The sequence below is a fragment of the Homo sapiens genome, chromosome 12 (assembly GCF_000001405.40).
Source record: "Homo sapiens chromosome 12, GRCh38.p14 Primary Assembly".
Taxonomy (NCBI): Eukaryota; Metazoa; Chordata; class Mammalia; order Primates; family Hominidae; genus Homo; species Homo sapiens.
In genome coordinates, this window is record NC_000012.12 from 10,504,639 (window position 1) to 10,530,769 (window position 26,131).

The following is a 26,131-nucleotide window of genomic DNA, read 5'->3' on the forward strand; positions in this document are numbered from 1 at the left end:
CAGTATATCCAAAAGAATTAAAATTAGTATCTTGAAGAGATATCTGCACTCCCACATCAATGGTAGGATTATCAAGAATAAATAATATTTAAACAACCTAAATGTACACTGACAGATGAACAGATAAAGAAAATGTAGTATGTACATATGATGGAATATTCTTCAGCCTTAAAGAAAGAATATTCTGCCATTCATGACAACATGAATGACCCTTGAGGACATTAAGCTAAATAAAATAAGCCAGTCACAGAAGAACAAATGCTTTATGATTATACTATATGAGTTATCTAAAGTAGTCAAATTCATAGGAACAGAGAATGGTGGTTACCAGGGACTCACTTTCAATTGGTTAAGTTTCAGTTACGAAAGACGAATAAGTTCTAGAGATATACTGTACCACATAGTACGTATAGTTAGCAACAATACGTTGATCACTTTAAAATCTGCTAGGAGGGTAGATCTCATGTCAAGTGTCTTACTTGCCCTCTGCTCCCAAAATAAAGGTACTCAAGAAAAACTTTGTAGATGATAAACATGCCTACTATCTTCATTGGGTGATGGTATTACGAATGTATGCATATGTCCAAACTCATCAAATTGTATACGTTAAAAATGCACAGTTTTTTTGTATATAAACTATACCTCAATAAAGCTATTGTAATAAATCTCCAATATAGCATCTATTAATGGTCATCACTCCAACATAATTTGAAGAAATGAAAATTATAATATAAACCACGACATAGCTATTTGTTTCGAACAAAAAATAAATATATTAATAATTAATCTTCTTAAAGAAGAAAAATATTTAGTGTAGAATTATTCAGTGTGTTGCTGGTTTTGTGTCTTCTTAGAAATGTAATAGCAGGCTGTATATACAAGATCCATTTTCATATAAATAGATTACAATGGTCCATTAATTTTTTAAGTATTTATCTGTGGTCAACTGAAAATATATTTTCGACCCGCCTCGCATGGGCCCAGGGGGCGGGGGTTTGGGTGGCTGCCCTCAGTATTGCCTGCACAAATATCTACCAAGTCTGCGACGAATAGCTCCAGCAACTTTGCACCGTGTTTTCCAGTAAGCCTACCGACAGGCACTGTGCAGATTCAAGCAGAGAGAAGTCCAAGCACTGAGGCCGCTGCTGCACCGGCCATCCTGAGACCCTAGTCGACCTTCCGGCCTCCGCATCCCCGCCCCGCACTAGGACCCCTGCAGACGATCAGGCGGCAGCCGGGGTGACTTTCTTCCTCTTTTGGCAACATGGCGGGCGGAGAAGCTGGGGTGACTCTGGGGCAGCCGCACCTTTCGCGTCAGGATCTCACCACCTTGGATGTTACCAAGTTGACGCCACTTTCACACGAAGTTATCAGCAGACAAGCCACAATTAATATAGGTACAATTGGTCATGTAGCTCATGGGAAATCCACAGTCGTCAAAGCTATTTCTGGAGTTCACACCGTCAGGTTCAAAAATGAACTAGAAAGAAATATTACAATCAAGCTTGGATATGCTAATGCTAAGATTTATCAACTTGATGACCCAAGTTGCCCTCGGCCAGAATGTTATCGATCTTGTGGGAGCAGTATGCCTGATGAGTTTCCTACAGACATTCCAGGAACCAAAGGGAACTTCAGATTAGTCAGACATGTTTCCTTTGTTGACTGTCCTGGCCACGATATTTTGATGGCTACTATGCTGAACGGTGCAGCAGTGATGGATGCAGCTCTTCTGTTGATAGCTGGTAATGAATCTTGCCCTCAGCCTCAGACATCTGAACACCTGGCTGCTATAGAGATCATGAAACTGAAGCATATTTTGATTCTACAAAATAAAATTGATTTGGTAAAAGAAAGGCAGGCTAAAGAACAATACGAGCAGATCCTTGCGTTTGTCCAAGGTACAGTAGCAGAGGGAGCTCCCATTATTCCAATTTCGGCTCAGCTGAAATACAATATTGAAGTTGTTTGTGAGTACATAGTAAAGAAAATTCCAGTACCCCCAAGAGACTTTACTTCAGAGCCCCGGCTTATTGTTATTAGATCTTTTGATGTCAACAAACCTGGCTGTGAAGTTGATGACCTTAAGGGAGGTGTAGCTGGTGGTAGTATCCTAAAAGGAGTATTAAAGGTGGGCCAGGAGACAGAAGTAAGACCTGGTATTGTTTCCAAAGATAGTGAAGGAAAACTCATGTGTAAATCAATCTTTTCCAAAATTGTTTCACTTTTTGCGGAGCATAATGATCTGCAATATGCTGCTCCAGGCGGTCTTATTGGAGTTGGAACAAAAATTGACCCCACTTTGTGCCGGGCTGACAGAATGGTGGGGCAAATACTTGGTGCAGTCGGAGCTTTACCTGAGATATTCACAGAATTGGAAATTTCCTATTTCCTGCTTAGACGGCTTCTAGGTGTACGCACTGAAGGAGACAAGAAAGCAGCAAAGGTTCAAAAGCTGTCTAAGAATGAAGTGCTCATGGTGAACATAGGATCCCTGTCGACAGGAGGGAGAGTTAGTGCTGTCAAGGCCGATTTGGGCAAAATTGTTTTGACCAATCCAGTGTGCACAGAGGTAGGAGAAAAAATTGCCCTTAGCCGAAGAGTTGAAAAACACTGGCGTTTAATTGGTTGGGGTCAGATAAGAAGAGGAGTGACAATCAAGCCAACAGTAGATGATGACTGAAGAATACCGGTTAAATAATACATTCGGATGGAGCTGGAAGTTGCAATTTCTCTTTAACAACCAAGGGGTTTATTTTCAAAGCGATATTGGGGAATTGATTTCACAGTTTGTTACCTTAGTAGGTAACGGTAAGGTTATTCTCTCTTTTTTTTTTTGGTTATGAAAACTTAGGGACTACAATTAGTATAAAAATTGGCATAATGTTGGATTGAATCTACATTTTGGCAGAAGTTAAGCATTCCCACATAATGTCAAAATTATACATTATGCAGTTTTTTTGTTTGTTTTATTTTGTTTTGTTTTTGAGTCTGGCTTTGTCACCTAGGCTGGCATGTAGTGGCATGATCTGCAATCTCTGCCTCCCAGGTTCAAGCGATTCTCCTGCCTCAGCCCCCCAAGTAGCTGAGATTACAGGTGTGTGCCACCACACGGGGCTAATTTTTGTATTAGTAGAGACGGGGTTTCGGCATGTTGGCCAGGCCAGTCTCTCCTGACCTCAGGGTGATCAGCCCACCTCGGCCTCACAAAGTGCCGGGATTACAGGCGTGAGCCACCTTGCCTAGCCCACATCATGCAGTTTGAAATGAAACTTTGCCACAACCAGCCTTTGCTGTAGCACACACATATATCACTGAAACTGTTCGAAATAAAGTTTTTTTTTGTTTTTCATGATTCGTCTTTGAGTACCTCCAGGCTGAAGGACTGTTGTACCAGTAAAAACTTAAAGGCACAAATTATCCTTGAAGACCTTCTCCCTTTTCTTTGGCCCCATATTTTATGTTGCTTTATCTTTGAAATTTTGCATGAAAAGGATGCAATGAATGGGTTCGAATTGCATGAAAAGGATGCACGAATGGGTTCGAATGAAATTGTCCTTTAGAGCATGATTACTTGTTCCCATGGGCAAATAATTTTCTCCCCTTGCTCTTCCTGGCCTGAAATACGGGAAACTAGAGTCAGAAGTTATCTCCCTCTCCCTGTGATGCCTTGAGATGTTTTTCTGCATTGTTTTATGCCTGAAATCCAATAGTCTTCCTCCATTGGAAAATACTGTTATACCAAATAATTCTAGATGAGTAACAAAGATCCTTCTAGGCCTTCATTTTATGTTTTTTCTTAACTGTTATATGATTGTGACACAGATTATAATATTACTAATTTTTGGATGTTTCAAAAGGTCAATAAGTAAAAGATGTTAGAAAGCAAAAAAAAAAAAAAAAAAAAAAAAGAAAATATATTTTCTATCATGTTCTTCTGATAAAGTAATTCAAACTTTAACCAGCCCTGAAGACGGCATTGTGATTATACATCCCTGGGTTCTCCTGCTGACCTAAAGTAATATTAATCTCCATATATAACATTAAAATATATTCCCTTATTAGCTTAAGGGAATAAATGTGAATAATCAAATTTTTTCTTTTGTTAGTGTAGGGCAAATTAAAATTTTTCTGCTTTTTAAAGTTATGAAACCATAGACTCATAGAAAAAAAATTCTTCATATACAGGATTTAAGTATAAAAACTTGCGTGTACATATGTGTATATAAATTCTTAGAAAAGTTGTTAAAATCTCTTATATGTTAAAGCACATGAGAACCGTCAGATAAAATCTGACCTCCTTCAAAAAATCTAATATTTATGTGAGGGTAATATTAATACAATACTTATCTTCTTTGTTTCTCCATTTTATGTTGAGTGTTGAGGAGCAAATTAATTGTCTTTTAGAAAGTGGCATTCTTGCAGTGGGCAGCCTGTCTGCTACTTAGTGCTCTATTATTTCTCTATATCTATTGTTATTTTGTCCTGTTAAATGTTTAAAGAAAGATTAACTATTGCATTACTGTGAGATTTTTATCAAGATTCTTATCATTGTTAGAATATTATTCTTTAATTCTGCCTATTCCTCCACAGTATTTTTCTAGCATTCTATCTATATGCCACCTTGAGGTCTTCATTTTTTTAACTGAAGTAATATATAGACACACTTAAATATTAAGAGTATTATCTTACTGTCAGATGGCTTGCAAATATATTTCCAACAATCTTACCTTTCTTCTGAAAAATCATCAATTTTTACCAGAGTTAGAGTTTTAATTTTAAACCATCACAAATTTTTAAAATATTTACCATAATTTTAGCTTTAAAAACACTTTCAGATCATGACTTCAATTATATTTTATTCAAAAATTTTTATAGTTTCTAATTCTCATCCAATTTTTATGCTTTCTAGTATATTTGGTATATAGTATAAAAGGAATGTATACTATGCCTCTATAACTATCCAAATTGCACAACCAATTTTCATGAAATAAATTGTCCTTTCCCACATTACTTGAAATATCACTTGAATAAGAACCACCATATTCGTAGTTATATAGATTTATGGTTCATTTTGATAGCAATAAAAAATCTTAATCAGATAAATATCACTCATCACCATTAATTTCCAAAAACTTTTGATCATGCATGCATACATCCATGAGAAGTATATTAATTTATTAGTAAATTAATTATAAATAAATTTATATTTAAAGCATGAAAGTCACACATAGATTTTATGGGCACATAAAGAACAATGTGTATTTTTCATTGTTATTTGCATTCTTCATTGTTTTCATCCTATTTTTTTCCATGGACATGACAGTAAGAGATCATCTTCCCTTAGAAATTTGATCTTTCTCAAATATTGATGGTGAAAGAAGTGAGCTTAATACAGTAAGTCATCTCTTTTCGACTACTCATATCATCCAAGGCAGTTTATCTTTTGTCCTACATTAGCACTGATAGGCTAAATATTGAATAGTCTGATGTATACTAAAATATGAAGATGTAACACATACAATGAGAGGACATCAGGGCTATTATTCTTGTTTAAAATTAACAGTGCTTCCAGGTCTCTTTAATACCTACTCCCCTTCCTCTGCAGGTAAAAGGTAAATGTGCACCAGTACTAAAGGTACCTCCACCAAATGGGTCAAATAAGATGAGAGGAAAGCCCAAACAATTATCCTAACTCAGGACACACACATGTCTCATAAAGCACTTACTCGGGGTTAATAAAATAAACATACCTGCTCCTCTTTGTCATCAATCTTAATGAGACTAGAACCCAGATCTTGGCATGACTTCTTACTCTCATTCCAAGTTTTCTCTTCTTTTGAAAAATAGTAACACTTTTCTCCATAGCAGGACAATTTTCCTTGACAGGAGGCACAGCCTTTTTCTTGAAAACAAAAACAACCACCCACACTCCATCCCCAAGACCATTTAGAGACATGTACACTTTACGTACTTCACTGCTTACTTCAGAATGAATTACCAGAAAATAGCATTCCCCTGTGTGCCGAAAGTCTGTATGTTGGACATAGCTCTTCTACCAAATTCTTCAGGGAAAAATACTGTTGAGCCAGACAGCCTCTGACAGACCCAAGGCCACTGTTAGGATTACATTCGGAAATCTTGACTTCTCAAGTATAAACAAACTGCACCAATATGGAGAAGTTCTTCCTGCAGGAAGAAATCTACCAAAGTGAATATATGGCAATTATATTAATCCTAAGAGTTCTATATTGGGCAAACTTATTCACAAGCAAGTAAAATTTACTTACACAAGGAAGTAAAATTACTCAAATCAATATGACAATAGGGTCTTCTTTAGTGAAATCAAGTGTTCAATTAAATATAATATAGAAAATAGATTTGATGAGAAAAAGCAAAATTAAAAGCCCTGCCAAAGATCAATGTAAAGTTTTATTGAAATGGTGCAGAAGGGTTTAATTCTATGGAAAAAAAATCTGTTTGCTATTAGCTTAAGTACTCAGTACATATTTGTACTAGATGGTAAAATGGAGTGATCTTTAACTCTAGAAAGAAGGTTTTTTTTTTCTTTTTTCTCTTCTATATCTTGTGTTTTACATTTAAAGGAGCTCTGCAAAACTTTATATTATAAAGTTAATATCATGAATGGGTTTAATGGAAAATCATTTCATTATCATCATTTACTGAATTATTTTTATTGAATAGATGAGGTTTCACCATGTTGCCCAGGCTGGTCTCAAACTCCTGGGCTCAAGTGATCTACCTGCATTAACCTCTTCAAGTGCTGGGATTACAGGCATGAGCTACCGCACCTGGCATTTACTGAAATTCTAAAGAACAAAGTGAATGATGTTGATGAAGTGGAAGTACAGTCTGGGAAAAACATAAAATATTTTGAAGTGTCAGAACATAAAATGAATTTTTAAATAAAACCATTTATAAATTATATTTTTCAGTATATAAAACTAATTATTTATAAAACAAAAGATATAAACTGGAAATTTAAAGAATTCAGCTGGCTTTTACTCCATCTTCAAACAATTATTTCAAAGTTGTGATTAATATTTGCATTTAAAGGGATTTGTCTCTATGTTGAAGTTTATAATGGATTCATTGAAAGCACATGAGGAAAGAGCTTATACAGCTACTTCTAATGTGCAAAAGGAAAGTTAAGATTCCTTGAAAGAAATAGCAATTTCTTCCAAAAAGTCAAGAATAAAAAATGTAAAAGCACAGTCTATGGCTCTGTTAAAAAAAATTCATCAGAGATTTCCTACACAAAGAGTTTTTATTTACAATTCTGCCTCTATTCACCATTGTTCATTCAACTTCGATTCTACTTGTAAAAATAAACCAACATCAATTGCATAATCTCTTAACGTTCCCAATTATAACAAATGGAGCTATTGTTCCATTCAGCAATCCACTCCAATATCTATATTCTAGACCTGAAATTAAAAGACAAATGAAAGACATCTGGTTTCTAAAAACTGCTATTTCCTTATAACTAATCAATTATCTTCTCCTTTCCTTATCGCCCGCTCAAGTCCACATAGTGCAGCACTTTATAATTTTGGCAGGACATCTAACAATCTTGCACCGTAGTCTTTATGCAATGAATATTTGTCATCTAAAAACAGTCAGCTCTGGAACATTCTATCACTCACCATCTCATCTTCACAAGAGCATCTGAAGGCCAGCTGGCAAAAAAATCACAAAACTGTACAGATGCAGATTAATGCAGCTCCAAATTGATGGTTTTTATAATCATTTAGCCCCTCAACAGTATACAACCTACTTATTGTATCACTCCTTTTTCTCAATTCAACAGATATTTCTATTATTTAATATTTTTCTAAATTATCTACTAGACCTCCTTGACTGTCCTTTTCAGAAAATGCCCTCATCTGCTACTTGACATAGAAATAGTGACCATCAGGCATAAATTCCCTCATCTTCTTGCTTGTCCTCCAACAAATACACTGGTACCCATCCATCTATCTCAGAAAAAAAATTTATCTTCCCACTGAAAAACTCCAAAATTTCCATCCCTAGTGTGGATATCACCCCCTGTTATGTCCTAAAGAATCATCATCTCTAGCTATTCCACTTCTATTATCATTTTTCCTCTAACATTTTCCCTCCAATGTTTCTCTTCTCTTGTATATAATAATCTCAAGCCACTCTTGCTTCCCAGATTTCTATTATTTCTTTTTCCTGCTCTTTAAAACAGAGTTGTCTCTTTTTAATTTTTAGACCTTGAGGTGCCCGATAGGATTATTCACAATATTTCATTCATAAGACGCTTTTATCATTGCTCCAAGAACTTCTGTTTATTTATTTAGTTACTCACTTTGTTAGTTGTAACCCAAAACTATAGCTAGGACCATAACCATTACATTTATCTACTTGTATATTTCACTCCTTCCCGTCCTCCTACCTCATTCAAAAATGTAACTATCATACCGAATCCTATGTGATGAATTCCCTTGATTTATTTTATACATACTTTATTGCTTTGTTATTCCTTAAAATTATTTTTTGTTTTTAATGTTTTAACTTTATAAAATTGTATGACATTGTACAGAAAATTTGGTTTTTATTTTCACCTCATATTGTCATGCTCCTCTGGGAGAATCAAGGAGGTGAAGTAGATAATTTACGTAAATATTATCCTACCCCTCCTCTGCTACTTCACATAAAACTAGTGGCTATCAGGCATAAATCCCCTCACCTTCTTGCTTATTTATACTAGGGCTGAAATCAACACTGGGGTGGGAGTTTCAGACTTGTTCAGTGGGAAGAGAAATTTTTTTCTGAGACAGATGGATGGGTCCCTGTGTATTTGTTGGAGGATTTGCAATCATTATCCCATTAATGGTTATTTGGATAGTTTCGAGATGTTTCAAATTGTTAACAGCACTGCTGTAAATATTCCTGTAAATTTGCATTGTTGTACTTATGCAAATATTTCTCTTGGATATGTAGTTAGAATTCCTGAGCCATGTTCAGCTTTAGAAGATAAAATCAAACTGTTTCCCAAAGTGGTTGTATCAATTTATATTTCCTTTAATAACATATAAGAATCATATAAGGCCGGGCACAGTGGCTCACGCCTGTAATCCCAGCAATTTGGGAGGCTGAGGCGGGTGGATCATTTGAGGTCAGGAGTTCAAGACCAGCCTGACCAACATGGTGAAACCCCATCTCTACTAAAAATACAAAAATTAGCTGGGCATGGTGGCGTATGCCTGTAGTCCCAACTACTTGGGAGGCTGAGACAGGAGAATCACTTGAACCTGGGAGGTGGAGGTTGCAGTAAGCTGAGATAGTCCCATGGCACTCCAGCCTGGGTGACAGAGCGAGACTCCATCTCAAAAAAGATAAATAAATAAAAGAAGAAGAAGAATCATGTAGCTCTCCATACTTTCAATGCTTGGTAAATTTTTTTTCTTAGCCATAATTTAAAAAATAATTTTTTTGAACTCAGTGTCTCTGTTTCCTAATTGGCCAATAGGTTTTAGCCATTGCAATCTACTTTCACCATAGCTTACTCTCCCAGATACTCTACTATATTGGGTTCCCTCCTACTTGTCTCATCAAAATATCATTTTTTTTTGCTATTTACTCATATTTTATTTCTAAATGTTGACTTATCCTAAAGATCATCATTCTGACCCCTTCTCTTCTAACATAATATAATACTCCCTGATGTTACAAAGCTTTTTTTGTCATCTGGCTCTCCTTTCCTTACAATGTTTTCAAATACTTATTATATTAATTGATAATTCCACAATTTATATATCCAGTCTAGGTATCTCTCTTGATCTCAGACATTTAATCCTTCCATATACATGCCAATGGTCTATGTCTGCTACTAAAAGCTCACTCTGGAGACACAGACCAATTCTTTCTGGTTGTCTCCAGTGATATACCACAAAGCACCTAAATCATCACCATTATCACAACAAACATAGTTTAATGTTCTTCTTGTGTTTTCTATAACATTTAATAGAATTATATCCATCAAGGTGTGAAGGCTGATATGATATGAAATTATGGATTTCCTCCTCTCCCTCAACCACTGAATCCAATGCAGATTCCTGCAATTCTACGTTGTAAATATTTCTCATATAGGTTTCCTACCCATCATTGCTTTTTTTCATGATGCCAGTTTAGACAGTCATTGTCACTAACCTTGACTCCTAAAACAATTTCCTTTACATCCCCCCACCCACTTTCTAGGCTACTCAGATTGACCTCTCTAAAATCCATATCTGCTCATGTAACATGAGTCATATTGGTCCTTCACTTAAAATCATCTAATCGTTTTCTTTGCCTTTAGGGGAAATCTAAAAATTTTTAACATAGTGCAAAAGACCCTCATGAAGCTTCATACCTGTCCAAATCAATTTCTAGCCACATTTTTTATTACCCAAGAACTATTTGCAATTATAATACCTAAATCTGCCCTTTATTCATATTCTTCACTCCATCTACATTAGTCTTGTTTACCTTCAGCCCCCCAATTCCTGCTTGTCCTCTACTTCACATCAATTATGATCTACAGGGAAGCTTTTATGACCTCAAGATGTTATATGACATTCATCTGATCCTTTCATGATACGATTACAGCACTAGCAGTATTTTATATTTCAATCTGCTTCACTTAAAAAAAACTTCTCCTTTCAACTGAGCTCATTGAAAGCTGATAATTTAAAAAAAAATTCTGTATCATCGGTGCCATATATAGTTCCTGACCTATAGAAGATACCCAAAGTTGTTTGTTGAATGAATGAACCAAATAATTAATAATAATCAGAATAAAGATATTGAAAGAAAGTGTAGAGGACAGTTTTGTAAAAACTGATGTGAAATATATCAAAACTGGTATATTTCAGTTTATTACCCAGGAATTGTTGGCAATTATAATACCCAAATCTGTCCTTTATTCATGTTCTTCACTCTATAACTCTAGTAACATTTTATTTGTATAGAAAGGACATCAAATTTATTCTCTTTGTGATTTAAGCAGTATTTCAGTAAGATAAAAATGTAATAATCAAAGATTCTCCCAACTCACTGGTCATATGCAAACCCCATTTTACACACAAAAAAACTTAGTGTTATTTTATATATAATATACGTATACACACACACATACTAACTTATACTAGTATACTACATGTATATATATGTGTGTGTATACATGGGTACACTATGTCTGTGTGTATATTATATACATACTACATACATACTAATTTATACTAGTATATATATATTAGCTTATTTTTAGTATAAAATAAGTGTTAGTATACATATGTAAAATAGGTGTTAGTATATATATACACTAACATATTTTTAAATTTTATTAAAATAAATTATTTTAAAATTTTATTTTTAAAATTTCACTGGTAAGTAAAGTGTAGTGTATCTGAAATTTTTGTGTAATCACAGCTATATGCTCTTTTGTGTGGCTAAATGATAAACAAAAACTAAATGATAACAACATAATAAAATCATTTTCATCAATATCATCAGTACCATTATGATTGCTAACATGTCTCTAGAACCTTATAGTTTACAAAGTTTCGTAGAGGTTCCACAGTTATAGTGTCTCATTTTTCATCCTGTCTTATTGCTATCATATGAAATATGTGTAGCTGATACTCATGCATATATCGTAAGCCTGCAAATGCCAGCCAGCAACTCCCAGGGTTACTGCAACAGTATGCCATAAAAAGTCTATACAAAATCAAAAGGCAGAATATATAGTGAGCATGACAAAGCCCTCAGAATTAGAGCAAAATGAATATTTATTGTAGAGTTTAAGATTAAAATCACTATGCTGATCACAAATCTCATAAAATATTACACATAAATACACCTCTCAATATGTAAAGAAGGAGATATGCAAACAGGGACAATTTGACTTCCTCTTTTCCTAATTGAATACCCTTTATTTCCTTCTCCTGCCTAATTGCCCTGGCCAGAACTTCCAACACTATGTTGAATAGGAGTGGTGAGAGAGGGCATCCCTGTCTTGTGCCAGTTTTCAAAGGGAATGCTTCCAGTTTTTGCCCATTTAGTATGATATTGGCTGTGGGTTTGTCATAGATAGCTCTTATTATTTTGAGATACGTCCCATCAATACCTAATTTATTGAGATTTTTTAGCATGAAGAGTTGCTGAATTTTGTCAAAGGCCTTTTCTGCATCTATTGAGATAATCATGTGGTTTTTGTCTTTGGTTCTGTTTATATGCTGGATTACATTTATTGATTTGCGTATATTGAACCAGCCTTGCATCCCAGGGATGAAGCCCACTTGATCATGGTGGATAAGCTTTTTGATGTGCTGCTGGATTCGGTTTGCCAGTATTTTATTGAGGATTTTTGCATCAATGTTCATCAAGGATATTGGTCTAAAATTCTCTTTTTTGGTTGTGTCTCTGCCCGGCTTTGGTATCAGGGTGATGCTGGCCTCATAAAATGAGTTAGGGAGGATTCCCTCTTTTTCTATTGATTGGAATAGTTTCAGAAGGAATGGTACCAGTTCCTCCTTGTATCTCTGGTAGAATTCAGCTGTGAATCCATCTGGTCCTGGACTATTTTTGGTTGGTAAGCTATTGATTATTGCCACAATTTCAGAGCCTGTTATTGGTCTATTCAGAGATTCAACTTCTTCCTGGTTTAGTCTTGGGAGGGTGTATGTGTCGAGGAATTTATCCATTTCTTCTAGATTTTCTAGTTTATTTGCGTAGAGGTGTTTGTAGTATTCTCTGATGGTAGTTTGTATTTCTGTGGGAATGGTGGTGATATCCCCTTTATCATTTTTTATTGTGTCTATTTGATTTTCTCTCTTTTCTTCTTTATTAGTCTTGCTAGCAATCTATCAATTTTGTTGACCCTTTCAAAAAACCAGCTCCTGGATCCATTAATTTTTTGAAGGGTTTTTTGTGCCTCTATTTCCTTCAGTTCTGCTCTGATTTTAGTTATTTCTTGCCTTCTGCTAGCTTTTGAATGTGTTTGCTCTTGCTTTTCTAGTTCTTTTAATTGTGATGTTAGGTTGTCAATTTTGGATCTTTCCTGCTTTCTCTTGTGGGCATTTAGTGCTATAAATTTCCCTGTACACACTGCTTTGAATGTGTTCCAGAGATTCTGGTATGTTGTGTCTTTGTTCTTGTTGGTTTCAAAGAACATCTTTATTTCTGCCTTCATTTCGTTATGTACCCAGTAGTCATTCAGGAGCAGGTTGTTCAGTTTCCATGTAGTTGAGTGGTTTTGAGTGAGTTTCTTAATCCTGAGTTCTAGTTTGATTGCACTGTGGTCTGAGAGACAGTTTGTTATAATTTCTGTTCTTTTACATTTGCTGAGGAGAGCTTTACTTCCAACTATGTGGTCAATTTTGGAATAGGTGTGGTGTGGTGCTGAAAAAAATGTATATTCTGTTGATTTGGGGTGGAGAGTTCTGTAGATGTCTATTAGGTCCACTTGGTGCAGAGCTGAGTTCAATTCCTGGGTATACTTGTTAACTTTCTGTCTCATTGATCTGTCTAATGTTGACAGTGGGGTGTTAAGGTCTCCCATTATTGTGTGGGAGTCTAAGTCTCTTTGTAGGTCACTCAGGACTTGCTTTATGAATCTGGGTGCTCCTGTATTGGGTGCATATATATTTAGGATAGTTAGCTCTTCTTGATCCCTTTACCATTAGGTAATGGCCTTCTTTGTGTCTTTTGATCTTTGTTGGTTTAAAGTCTGTTTTATCAGAGACTAGGATTGCAACCCCTGCCTTTTTTTGTTTTCCATTTGCTTGGTAGATCTTCCTCCATTCTTTTATTTTGAGCCTATGTGTGTCTCTGCACGTGAGATGGGTTTCCTGAATACAGCACACTGATGGGTCTTGACTCTTTATCCAATTTGCCAGTCTGTGTCTTTTAATTGGAGCATTTAGCCCATTTACATTTAAAGTTAATATTTCTCAGCCCAAAATCTCCTTAAGCTGATAAGCAACTTCAGCAAAGTCTCAAGATACAAAATCAATGTACAAAAATCACAAGCATTCTTATACACCAACAACAGACAAACAGAGAGCCAAATCATGAGTGAACTCCCATTCACAATTGCTTCAAAGAGAATAAAATACCTAGGAATCCAACTTACAAGGGATGTGAAGGACCTCTTCAAGGAGAACTACAAACCACTGCTCAAGGAAATAAAAGAGGACACAAAGAAATGGAAGAACATTCCATGCTCATGGGTAGGAAGAATCATATCGTAAAAATGGCCATACTGCCCAAGGTAATTTATAGATTCAATGCCATCCCCATCAAGCTACCAATGACTTTCTTCACAGAATTGGAAAAAACTACTTTAAAGTTCATATGGAACCAAAAAAGAGCCCACATCGCCAAGTCAATCCTAAGCCAAAAGAACAAAGCTGGAGGCATCACGCTACCTGACTTCAAACTATACTACAAGGCTACAGTAACCAAAACAGCATGGTACTGGTACCAAAACAGCGATATAGATCAATGTAACAGAACAGAGCCCTCAGAAATAACGCCGCTTATCTACAACTATCTGATCTTTGACAAACCTGAGAAAATCAAGCAATGGGGAAAGGATTCCCTATTTAATAAATGGTGCTGGGAAAACTGGCTAGCCATATGTAGCAAGCTGAAACTGGATCCCTTCCTTACACCTTATACAAAAATTAATTCAAGATGGATTAAAGACTTAAACGTTAGACCTAAAACCATAAAAACCCTAGAAGAAAACCTAGGCATTACCATTCAGGACATAGGCATGGGCAAGGACTTCATGTCTAACACACCAAAAGCAATGGCAACAAAAGCCAAAATTGACAAATGGGATCTAATTAAACTAAAGAGCTTCTGTACAGCAAAAGAAACTACCATCAGAGTGAACAGGCAACCTACAAAATGGGAGAAAATTTTTGCAATCTACTCATCTGACAAAGGGCTAATATCCAGAATCTACAATGAACTCAAACAAATTTACAGGAAAAAAACGAACAACCCCATCAAAAAGTGGGCAAAGGACATGAACAGACACTTCTCAAAAGAAGACATTTATGCAGCCAAAAAACACATGAAAAAATGCTCACCATCACTGGCCATCAGAGAAATGCAAATCAAAACCACAATGAGATACCATTTCACACCAGTTAGAATGGCAATCATTAAAAAGTCAGGAAACAACAGGTGCTGGAGAGGATGTGGAGAAATAGGAACACTTTTACACTGTTGGTGGGACTGTAAACTAGTTCAACCATTGTGGAAGTCAGTGTGGCAATGCCTCAGGGATCTAGAACTAGAAATACCATTTGACCCAGCCATCCCATTACTGGGTATATACCCAAAGGACTATAAATCATGCTGCTATAAAGACACATGCACACGTATGTTTATTGTGGCACTATTCACAATAGCAAAGACTTGGAACCAACCCAAATGTCCAACAATGATAGACTGGATTAAGAAAATGTGGCACATATACACCATGGAATACTATGCAGCCATAAAAAATGAAGAGTTCATGTCCTTTGTAGGGACATGGATGAAATTGGAAATCATCATTCTCAGTAAACTATCACAAGGACAAAAAACCAAACACCGCATGTTCTCACTCATAGGTGGGAATTGAACAATGAGAACACATGGACACAGGAAGGGGAACATCACACTCTGGGGACTGTTGTGGGGTGGGGGGAGGGTGGAGGGATAGCATTAGGAGATATACCTAATGCTAAATGACGAGTTAATGGGTGCAGCACACCAGCATGGCACATGTATACATATGTAACTAACCTGCACATTGTGCACATGTACCCTAAAACTTAAAGTATAATAATAATAAAATAAAATTTAAGAAAAGGAGATATGCAATATCAAATATATATGAACATAATTATGATTTCATTTTTTTCTTACTTGACAATATATTTTCAGAAAACAAGAAAATAAACAAAAAACAGTTTACCTTTACTTTTGTGAGCTGAACGTCTTCCGTTCTTTCATTTTGAAAAGGGGAATTTTGTCTCTGTGCATGTCACTCTCTCCTCACTCATATCTGAGGGCTGCAGTCAAAGAACACAGCAAGAATCCTTTCGAACAGCATAATTCTTCAGTTGAAATGGGAACATTCATCATGAAGGAATGGAGAGACCTCAATAAGTAATAAGCATGATAGTCAAGAAAAAGTGAAATAAAGTAACCATTTGTCAGGGAATATCAGAAAATATGATTTTGTAGACTTCTCTTTGTGATGTTTTAGAACAGAGATCCTACATAGCTAAATAATAGTTTGTGACAGTGTACAGACATGTTATATTAGACTTTTAGGCTGTCTTTTAGGTAATTTAATTGCTTGCCAAAAGTTAGAAATTAATGTTTTACACACAAATATCCAGATGTATATCTTCTCTTGAAAATTGCATGTGAACATTTAGTGCCTGTATTAGTCCCAAGTGATAACCATATTATGATACTGAATTGAGTCACCTTTAGCAAGGATACACGTTCTAATTCAACACAGTCTGCAATCTGCCAGATTATCTTATACCACACCCCATCACTTCCTGATCTTATCCATTTAACTGGATCTCATGAATCTTAGAGAATGGGAAAAATGAACAAATCCTGGGATTTAAGGAAAGGAAGTTTAAAGAAATAACATTAACAAAGCTGGGAATCACTTGTATTTCTAACTACTCTGCAGAGTGATGTTTTTTTTTCAATTTATAGATGAGGCAAACTGAGCCTCAAAGCATATAATATTTGATAGTCCCCAAGGTCAAATAGCTAGTGATAGTCTTTAGTTCAAATCCATATATGTGTATATATGTACATATCTATATCCAAATATATCCTTCTTCACCTCCACTTAATACCTACATTTATATAAATAACACTTCTGCAAAACCATAAAATAATCTCTCTCCCTCAGAAACCATAAATAAATAAGAAAAAGAATCTGAATCAATGAAAATATTTCCTTTTCTAAGTTAACTAAGGGTGTAAGGAAAGAGATGAATATGTTCTCAATAGCAAGCCAAGAATGAGTATTTAAAGACTGTGATGACAAAGTCCACGCAGAAACCTGAAGTGTATAGTAAAAGCTAGCTATTTTAGGAAAGTGTGAGCAACCTGAAAGTCATAATCTTTTGATATTCAACCTTCCACAAAACAAAGTGAGCTCAAGATTTTCTGAAAGAACCTTAAACTTGAATCTAGGAAGCAGTTCTAATCCTTGGTATGCCACAAATTAATCGTATGGCCTTAAGAAAATAACTTCTCCAGTTTCCTCATGTAAGTAATGAGACATTAAACTAAACCATCTCAAGAATAACTTTTGAGTCTACAATTTTATGTTAATATTATACTAAAACAAAACCCAGAGGAGTAAAGTTGACTTTCAGTCTGTAAAACATATCATACTGCCAAAGGTGTTTGTATTTTTATTTTCAGATCCAACTTTCTCATCCTTTTAAGTATGCTGTATAATTAGTATATGTTCCATAACACATAGCCTGGTGTAGTGGTGTGAGCTTGTAGCACTGGCCGCTCAGGAGGCTGAGGCAGGAGAGTCACTCGAGCCTAGGCGTTTTAGGCTGCAGTGAGCCATGATTGTGCCAGTGCACTCCAGCATTAGTGACAGAGTGAGATCCTGTCTCTAAAAAATATTTAAATAAATAAAAAATAAACATAATACATACTATGTCTATAACTATATTCTGTGATTAGTTAAATAATATATGCAGTTTTAAAAAGAGTATAAATTTGTCATCAAATCAGGACTTAGAACAAAGCATCATTCAATTAATGGAGCTGGGAGAATTAATTATCTAGAAAAAATTAGTCTTTCCTTATACCTAAATAGATTTGAGTTATTGCAGTTTCCATATTTACTGATTCTTCAACATCCATTGCATTCTCTTCCAGATTCATCTAATTCACCTTGATTTGATTAAGGAATTAGAATGGGGCCCAGTTCTTACCAATGAGACACAGAGGAAGTCTGCAGCAAACTTCTAGGAAATCATTTCTTTCTTTAAAGAAAAAAGACAAAAGAAAACATGATCCCCTTTCTGCTCTGGAGATTCTTTGCAGGCTGTGATGCCCGGAATTGTGACAACCATATCACAATTATGGGAAGAACTTAGGTTCCTGAAAATCTTATTGCAACATGTTTACAGCCAGCCCTACACCTGGACTTCATGTTTATTATTTATATCAGTCCAAGTTCTTGAAATGATGCTGCTTTCATCTGAAATACACAAACAAATAAAATTATATTTATATACACATAAACATGTATATACATACATGTATATATTTTTATAGAGTATTAGAATGCTACTCTTTCTCAAAATATGTTAAATATAAACTAAACTTGACTGTTAATTATGATGTGTCCTAATTTAATTATATGAAAAATTCTGATGTTTAAAAAATAAAAAATGAAGTTATATTGATATTATATTTCATATTTTTTAAATCCTACCTAGTTTTCAATCTATCTCAGGCACATTACCAGAAAATATTTTACCTTTACCACACCAATAAAGATAAAGACAAAGGCCTTCTTTAGAAATTGTCTATCATTCTCCAGTCAGCAATTTCTAGATATTTGAATAAGTTACACTGTCACACCCAATGACTGCTGTTGATATTGATGAGGGAGAGAAAAGAATTAAGATGCTTAAACCTAAAATCTAAAGTGGAATAATATTATGATTCTTTCAAAATCTTCCTGAGATTTTTAACCTTTTCCCTGAGAACAGAAGGAGGAGGAGAAGAAAAATGGTTCTTTCGTTACTAAGAGTGCCATCACAGGCGGCAGTGAAATTTGAAAATATGGTCATGGTTTTCTCTCCAGATGAGTGGGATCATCTGAGCCCTTAACAGAGAAACTCCAAAAGGATTTGATGCTGGATAAATGTGATATTTGTGTCTTTGGGAAACTGGACTTATAAGCCACAAGTGATGTCCCCTTTAAAGCAAGGGAATGAGCCCTGGATGATGGTGAGAGATGATAGGTGCTCCCTGCCCGGGTACATGAAAAGCAAGAATCAGGTGGAAGACCTCAGTTCATGCCCCAACTCACCAGAGTAACCTGCACCCCTATGGTGGCAGGAGAGGAACTTTTCCATGGGTTTCTGTCCATGAGTTTCCAAAGCAATCTAATTTTTACCCCACTTTTATCACTCTCCTTGTACCCTTTTTGTTATACTTCCAGTCTTAAGACAGTAAACGGTGTTCTGGTAAAACTTTTGAGTTTAAATTACCACATGAGGAATATTCAATAGCTAAATTGATCAAATCATTTGTCAAATAATTTGTCAGCGATTAGATTTAATAGGTTAGCTCAGAAAGGTGTCATGAAAAGTCTTCTCAAGACAGAGTTTTGGAGAGAGATTTCTTGCCTCTTTAGATTTTTAGATTAAAGAATAACAAATTAGAAAGACAAATTTAACATTTAGTTGAAAAGAGATGACATGTCCATCTTTAACAGAAGTTAGAAATTGCCAGAAAGTAATATTATCCAGGGATTTCAGAGAAACTTTTTTCCCCAGTTTACATGCTGATAATAGGGAAGGCAGCTCATAAAACAGACTCTGGAAAGTCAAGGGACAAAAAGTTGGGATGCATGATGATGAATTTTTGTTTGGAATACTGTTAGATCTGAAGAGTAGCATTAAATACCAATGCATTTAGGCTGTAGGCATTTCATAAAGTGGGCCTGGAATCCAATAGAAATTCAAAGGTTTTATAAGAATTGTTCACAAGAATTCCAAATAACCTTGGGCCTTTTTATTCCTTAAATACTTAATAACTTGGCCCTAACTCCTCTCCCACAGCCAAGCCAGTTCTTCTTTCCCCCTTGTCCTTTCATTCTTCATTCACCTCTGTACATTTTTTTAATCAAGTTGTAGTCACTTTTATGTTTACTGCAAGATTTTTTCCTACACTTTTCACTGCTGCCTTGTGGTTTTAGAACACAAATCTGTTTGCATTCTCTTTTGTTTTGTGAAATGTATTGTGTGTGTGTATATATATACACACACAAAATAAAAACATGTATATATATATTTGAATAAAACAACTCATACTGTTAAAATAAAAAAATAAAATAAAATGTTAATGGATAGCAAACATTACAGAAGATACAAAGATATCAAACCTTTCCAATAGAAGGAAATTTTAAAGTCAGTAATGGATAGTATCATGTTAAACGGCAACCAAAAAAAGATATTTAACAAAAACAATCAGCAATTATTTATAGAATACCATTGAATTTTTCCAATTTTACAATTATGATATGCATATCTGAAATTTTAAAAAAATATTGTAGATCCCTCGTAATTCTATAACACAAGAATAATGACTTTTAATATTTCAAAACATTTCTTCCTATGTTTATTATTATACTACTTAGTGGGTATCTTGTTTTACACACATGCATTATATCGCATTTTAATTAGTGTTATAAATATGTACTCAAACTGTTTGATGTTCTTTGAAAATAAAAATGAAAAAGGAAATATATCACAGGAGAAAATTAGGTGAAATGAATGAACAGAAAACTTACAGAAGAAGAAATAAAGAAGACAAATTACAATCACGCACAAAATTGTACCTTCTCACTAATAGAAAGAACCATAAATTATTCAAATTACAAAATATTTCCTAATTATCACATTTCACAAATTTTATAATAATTAATAACAGTAATAATTGACATTATGTACATATTTCACTTTAATTTTACAACATTGGTGGTAGTGTAATTTGTACCAATGATTCTGGAAAGCAATACAGTAATATGTGTCAACAGACTTAAGGATGTTAATATTCTTTCAACTATAACTCCTTTGAAAGTTTTTTTGGTTTTTCATATATATATATATACACACATACATATATATACACACGTATATATACACACGTATATACACACATGTATATATACACACACGTACATACACACATATATACACGTATATACACACGCATACACACACGTATATACACACACGTATACACACACGTATATACACACACATATACACACACGTATGCACACACATATATACACACATATATACACACACGTATATACACACACGTATATACACACACGTATATACACACACATATATACACACATATATACACACGTATATATACACACATGTATATACACACATATATACACACATGTATACACATATATACACATATATACATACACACATATAGACACATATATACACATACATATATACACACATATAGACACATAAACACATATATACACATATATACACACATATATACACATATATATACACACATATATATACACACACATCTATACACATCTATACACATATACACACATATATACACATATATACATATATACACACACATACACACACACACACACATATATACACACACACACACACACACACACATATATATATATATATATATATATATATATATATATATATATATATATAAAAGAGAGACAGGATCTTGGTCTATTGCCCAGGCTGTAGTGCAGTGGTGCAATCACAGCTCATTGCAATCTGGACCTCCTAGGCTCAAGCAATTCTCCCAGCCTTCTAAGTAGCTAGGACTACAGGCATGTACCTCCAAGCCCAGCTAATTTTTTTAAATTTTTTGTACAGATGTGGGTCTCACTTTGTTGCCCAGGCTGGTTTTGAATTCCCGGCCTCAAGCAATCCTCCGTCCTTGGCCTTCCAAAGCACCAAGAGATTACAACAAGCATGAACCACTGTGCCTGGCATAAAAGGTGTTTTGTTGTTGTTGTTGTTTGAGACAGAGTCTGACTCTGTTGCCAGGCTGGAGTATAGTGGCGCAATCTCGGCTCACTGCAACCTCTCCTTCCTGGGTTCGAGCGATTATCCTGCCTCAGCCTCCTGAGTGGCTGGGACTACAGGCGCACCCAACTAATTTTTGTATTTTTAGTAGAGACAGGGTTTCACCATGTTGGCCAGGATGGTCTCGATCTCTTGACCTCATGATCCGCCCTCCTCAACCTTCCAAAGTGTTGGGATTACAGGCATAAGCCACTGTGCCTGACCAAAAGTTTTTTATACTAAAGCAATAAGCAGAGTTGAAACAAAATTCATATGCTAAAAAGATTATGGCTTTATTTTCTAAATATCCTAATTTCAGCAATAAGAAATATTTTCATAAATTAAGTTTTTTCCATAGAATAAAATACCATGCTTCTTATAAGATTCATATTTAAAATCTTATTTATAATGGGAAAGTACTCTTGTTTAAAGTGAAATACCTAGAATATAAAACTATGTGATACCAGTTTGGTAAGGCATGGATACCATCTCTTTTAAATAGAAAATAAATTCACAGGAGAAAATAAAAAGAAGCATAAAAATTAGTTAGCATAAAGTTGGTCATTTAAGAATCATATAATTATGGGAGAATTTTGTATTTCTTCTTATATCTTATTTCTACAGCTTTTGCTTAAATAGATACATAGATAATTTGTTTTATCTTATTTAACATGGGTCTTCTCAAATAGATTCATTCATATAGGGCTTATTTGCCCTTCAGTTCTCCTCCATCACTTAGCATACTACAGGGCTCACTGTCAGTGTTCAGTAAAGCTTGTGGATTGAATGATAGTCCTCTTCTAAATGTTATCCTGTGGATGTATGTCAACTTCTAATCTATGAAAAAAATATATTTAAGTAAATGAATAAAATTTATTTCATAACTGAATCACATACAAAAAATAGATACTTTAAAAATATTTAGGAGCATTCTTGGATGACTACTGAAAAATAAATTACTAAGAAAATCTGAGATACTTAGTTATTTAAGAGGAGAAAATATTTTTCCCCAAAAAATATTTTCAATAACTCTACAGACAGAACCAAAATACCATTGTTTACGGGTAGATTTGGTTGTTGGACCCTTAAAATATCATAATATTTCCACCATTAATTACTTTGTAATTTGAGGGAACCTGATTTGATCATCAATTAATAAATATATAAATGTACTACAATTTATTTTTCAATAAATATTCTCTCTTTCACTATGCCAAGTTATAAGGTAAGTCCTATTTTAAGGTCATATATTTTGCCAGCTAGCTAGTTTTTGTTTAGTTTTTTTCTATTTAATATCTGTGTACATATATAACAGGAAAACATATTCGTAAATATAAAACTGGATTTTTTTGATTAAAAATATTATTTTAAAAAACATTCAAATTTTTCCTATTACACCTAAATTCAGGATAGGGAATTTGAGATTTGAATAATTCATCGCCAACCAGGTAAGTAGCATCCTTCGTGGTAAGAAAAAAGAAGTCCAGAGTCATAATGTCTAAAAGAAAATAAATATTCCCCAAACATTTGAGAATTTTTAAAAATCATATTCTACATGGTTAATATATTTGACACGTTCTTATTCTGATCCATTTCTGCCTTTACCTTTAGTGTAACATTAACATTAGATATTAACATAGATCCTAAAGTTAATTATTTCCTGCAACAATTCAAATGTCTCCCAACTTTCTACATAGCTTTTCTATACAAAATTCTACTTTATTCCTCTTTCCTCAACAGCATGACACATAGAGACATGGATTGCACACCCACACTGGCTGATAATACCTGTGTCTATGCCTTGAGATTTCACCAGCTGGAAGACAAACTTGGTCAGGAATACAGTAAGGATGTGCTGACCTGCTGGTTTTCTCTCTCCTTTGAGACCAGGAGGTACTTACTGATATGTATTACTGACCCTCAAAGACACTGTGTCAGAGGAAAGCCGAGGAGGATCATATGACATTCAGTATTTCCCCACAGAAAGTTTCCAGTGGTGTCAGTATCACCTTTCCTACTCACACTCTGTGACAGACAAGTCATAAATAAAATAATAAATTTTATGAACATTTAATGGATTAACTCAAACCTGAGCTTCAGCAGTTGCCATAAAGCTTCTTCTCTCTCTCTCTCTCTCTCTCTCGATTCATTAAATGTTCATAAAATTTATGGCAACTGCTAAACTGGTTACAGCAACTGCCATAAACTTTATGGCAACTGGTTAACCATTTTCTAATCCATATATATATATTTACAAATATGCTTTCCTGTTTTATATCTATATGGCCATCTCAGCAACTCATGAGACTAGAAAATGGTTAACAAAAAGATTTTAAATCTATAAAAATAGAAAAATAAATATCCATATTCTGCCTTGTGTGATTTATACACTTTTTATAAAATGGAGGAAAATCCACAATTGTTATACATATAATAAAAATAGATAGCTGTTAAAATGTGCATAAATTTTGGTCTGTATTTTTAATGAACATCCTAAATATATTGCGATGTCTTGATGAATTATAATAAATGTAACTATATACAGTATGGGTTGACTGATCTGAAATAGTGTTTTTCCACTTCTTGTCTTCTCCTTAAATTATCTGAAGAAAGAGACTGTTTCTCTAAATAATAAAAATTAAGACAGAAGCAGAAATAGAAAGCCTTAAACTGTTGAATAGATTTGAATGAAGCCCTTTTAAAGCATCAAAGTCAAAATAATCTCTTCCAGTAGTTGTAGCCACAGCTGTCAAAGCATTTTTAAAAATTATTTAATTCAATGAGCAGCCCTATGTCCTATTTAACTCTAGAAGTAGGTAGTAGTAACAAAAGCAGGCTTTGGTGTTGTTTTTTTTTTCATATCAACCTCATTAATGTGCACACCTAAAGGGTCAACCACATTAATCTGCACACCCAATGCTCTAGTGCTTAAAAATCCTTCTTAGAAATGTGCAGTAATAACAACTGAAATTCATCTCTATTTCAGCTACACCATTTGAATTCTTTACAAAGGCACTTCTTCATGGTTTGAGAATGCATCTCTCATTACCCTAAAGCAAAACTATCTTATCCCCTTCTAAATAGTGGTAACAAAACTAGATTCTCTAGTTGCTTCTCTTGTAGGTTTGCCTTCGGCTTATTCTGTTTCTCTACTAGGAATCAACTGATTGCTTTCAGGGAGTAGGTTTCTAACTAAATAAAGTTATGACAGACAATGCATCCTGGAAATTCTCCAGACAATTGAACTTTCTTTTAAAGGTAAACAGTTTTTAAGCACGCCCATGAACTATGATATTCCAGGTTCGCAGCCATTAGTTACTCTGCTTGGCTGCTGTACATCTCTATGTATGTTTTTACCTCAAATTCCCCAGTTCCAAATGTATCATTTAACCAGAATGCATTTAATAGCATTTGTATATGTTATGAACCATAACAAGTGTCAAATGGATTCTAAAAATTAGTCCATAACATATTTATAGGAATGTGTTGCTTCCACTCTTTTTAAGAGTTGTATAGGCTTACATTTATCATCATTTAATATTAATAGAGCAACTGATATACACCTGTCCCTAAAAGTATGGGGCAAACCACCAAAGACAGGTAATTATTAACAATTTTAGTTTTTGGCATTTTAATACTAAACTTCAAGGTTTATTAAATAAAATAAATATAAGAGGTTCTTGAAAATCTAGCAAACTATATAGGCTTAGATATTTTATCAACAATATCTATAAAATATTATTGTCAGAGTATAGGTATATCATATCTATTTTCTTTTAAGGATTTTAACTTTGTAACTATTTTGAATAAAGGATGAGGTTATTATTAATTGGTTGATTATAAAGACCATTTTCCCAAAGCTTTCCTCTCTCCTTAAAACACCCACACACTTTTGTACCCAAAAATATCAATGTATTTTTAATGTTTCTTCAATTGTTTCCTATACTTCTTTTCTACCTCAACTTGTGTTTATCTTTTAATGTCCACTGAAATTATATTTATGTTCACCAAGTCTAGCCAGTATTAAATTTTTTAAAAACTGAAATGACATTTAATAAAAGAATAAAGTTAATAGAAATCAAGATACAACCCCAAGATGAAATAAGTGAATAAGCACATAAAATAAGAGAGAGAGATAGAGGCTCATGATAACATGAATAGAACACAGCAGAATGATATCAGGATATAGCTGAATTAATGTGAACTTTATAATA

General features: G+C 34.3%; 1 protein-coding gene and 1 long non-coding RNA gene across 4 annotated transcripts in view; one reads left to right on the top strand and one right to left on the bottom strand.

The window, feature by feature from the left end:
* LOC105369657 (uncharacterized) overlaps window positions 1-26,131 on the bottom strand; it is a 41,122-nt gene that overhangs the window by 8,661 nt on the left and 6,330 nt on the right. For both annotated transcript variants that reach the window (XR_931355.4, XR_001749003.3), the window contains exons 2-3: window positions 18,021-18,289; window positions 16,004-16,145 (exon numbers count right to left, since the gene is read on the bottom strand). This is a non-coding gene — a long non-coding RNA (uncharacterized LOC105369657). The remainder of the gene's footprint in view (window positions 1-16,003; window positions 16,146-18,020; window positions 18,290-26,131) is intronic.
* EIF2S3B (eukaryotic translation initiation factor 2 subunit gamma B) lies at window positions 1,252-18,497 on the top strand. Of its 2 annotated transcripts, NM_001357731.1 has the most exons (2): window positions 1,255-2,572; window positions 17,965-18,497. In NM_001357731.1, the coding sequence occupies exons 1-2, from the start codon at window positions 1,265-1,267 to the stop codon at window positions 18,055-18,057; spliced, it is 1,401 nt and encodes a 466-aa protein (NP_001344660.1). In that variant the 5' UTR covers window positions 1,255-1,264; the 3' UTR covers window positions 18,058-18,497. The 2 variants fall into 2 exon arrangements, with proteins under 2 accessions (NP_001344663.1, NP_001344660.1); NM_001357734.3 differs by lacking the exon at window positions 17,965-18,497 and having other exon boundaries at window positions 1,252-3,887.

Bases quoted from the DNA above. Each gene is read 5' to 3' on its own strand.
- EIF2S3B (NM_001357734.3), top strand. From the start codon at position 1,265: ATGGCGGGCGGAGAAGCTGGGGTGACTCTGGGGCAGCCGCACCTTTCG.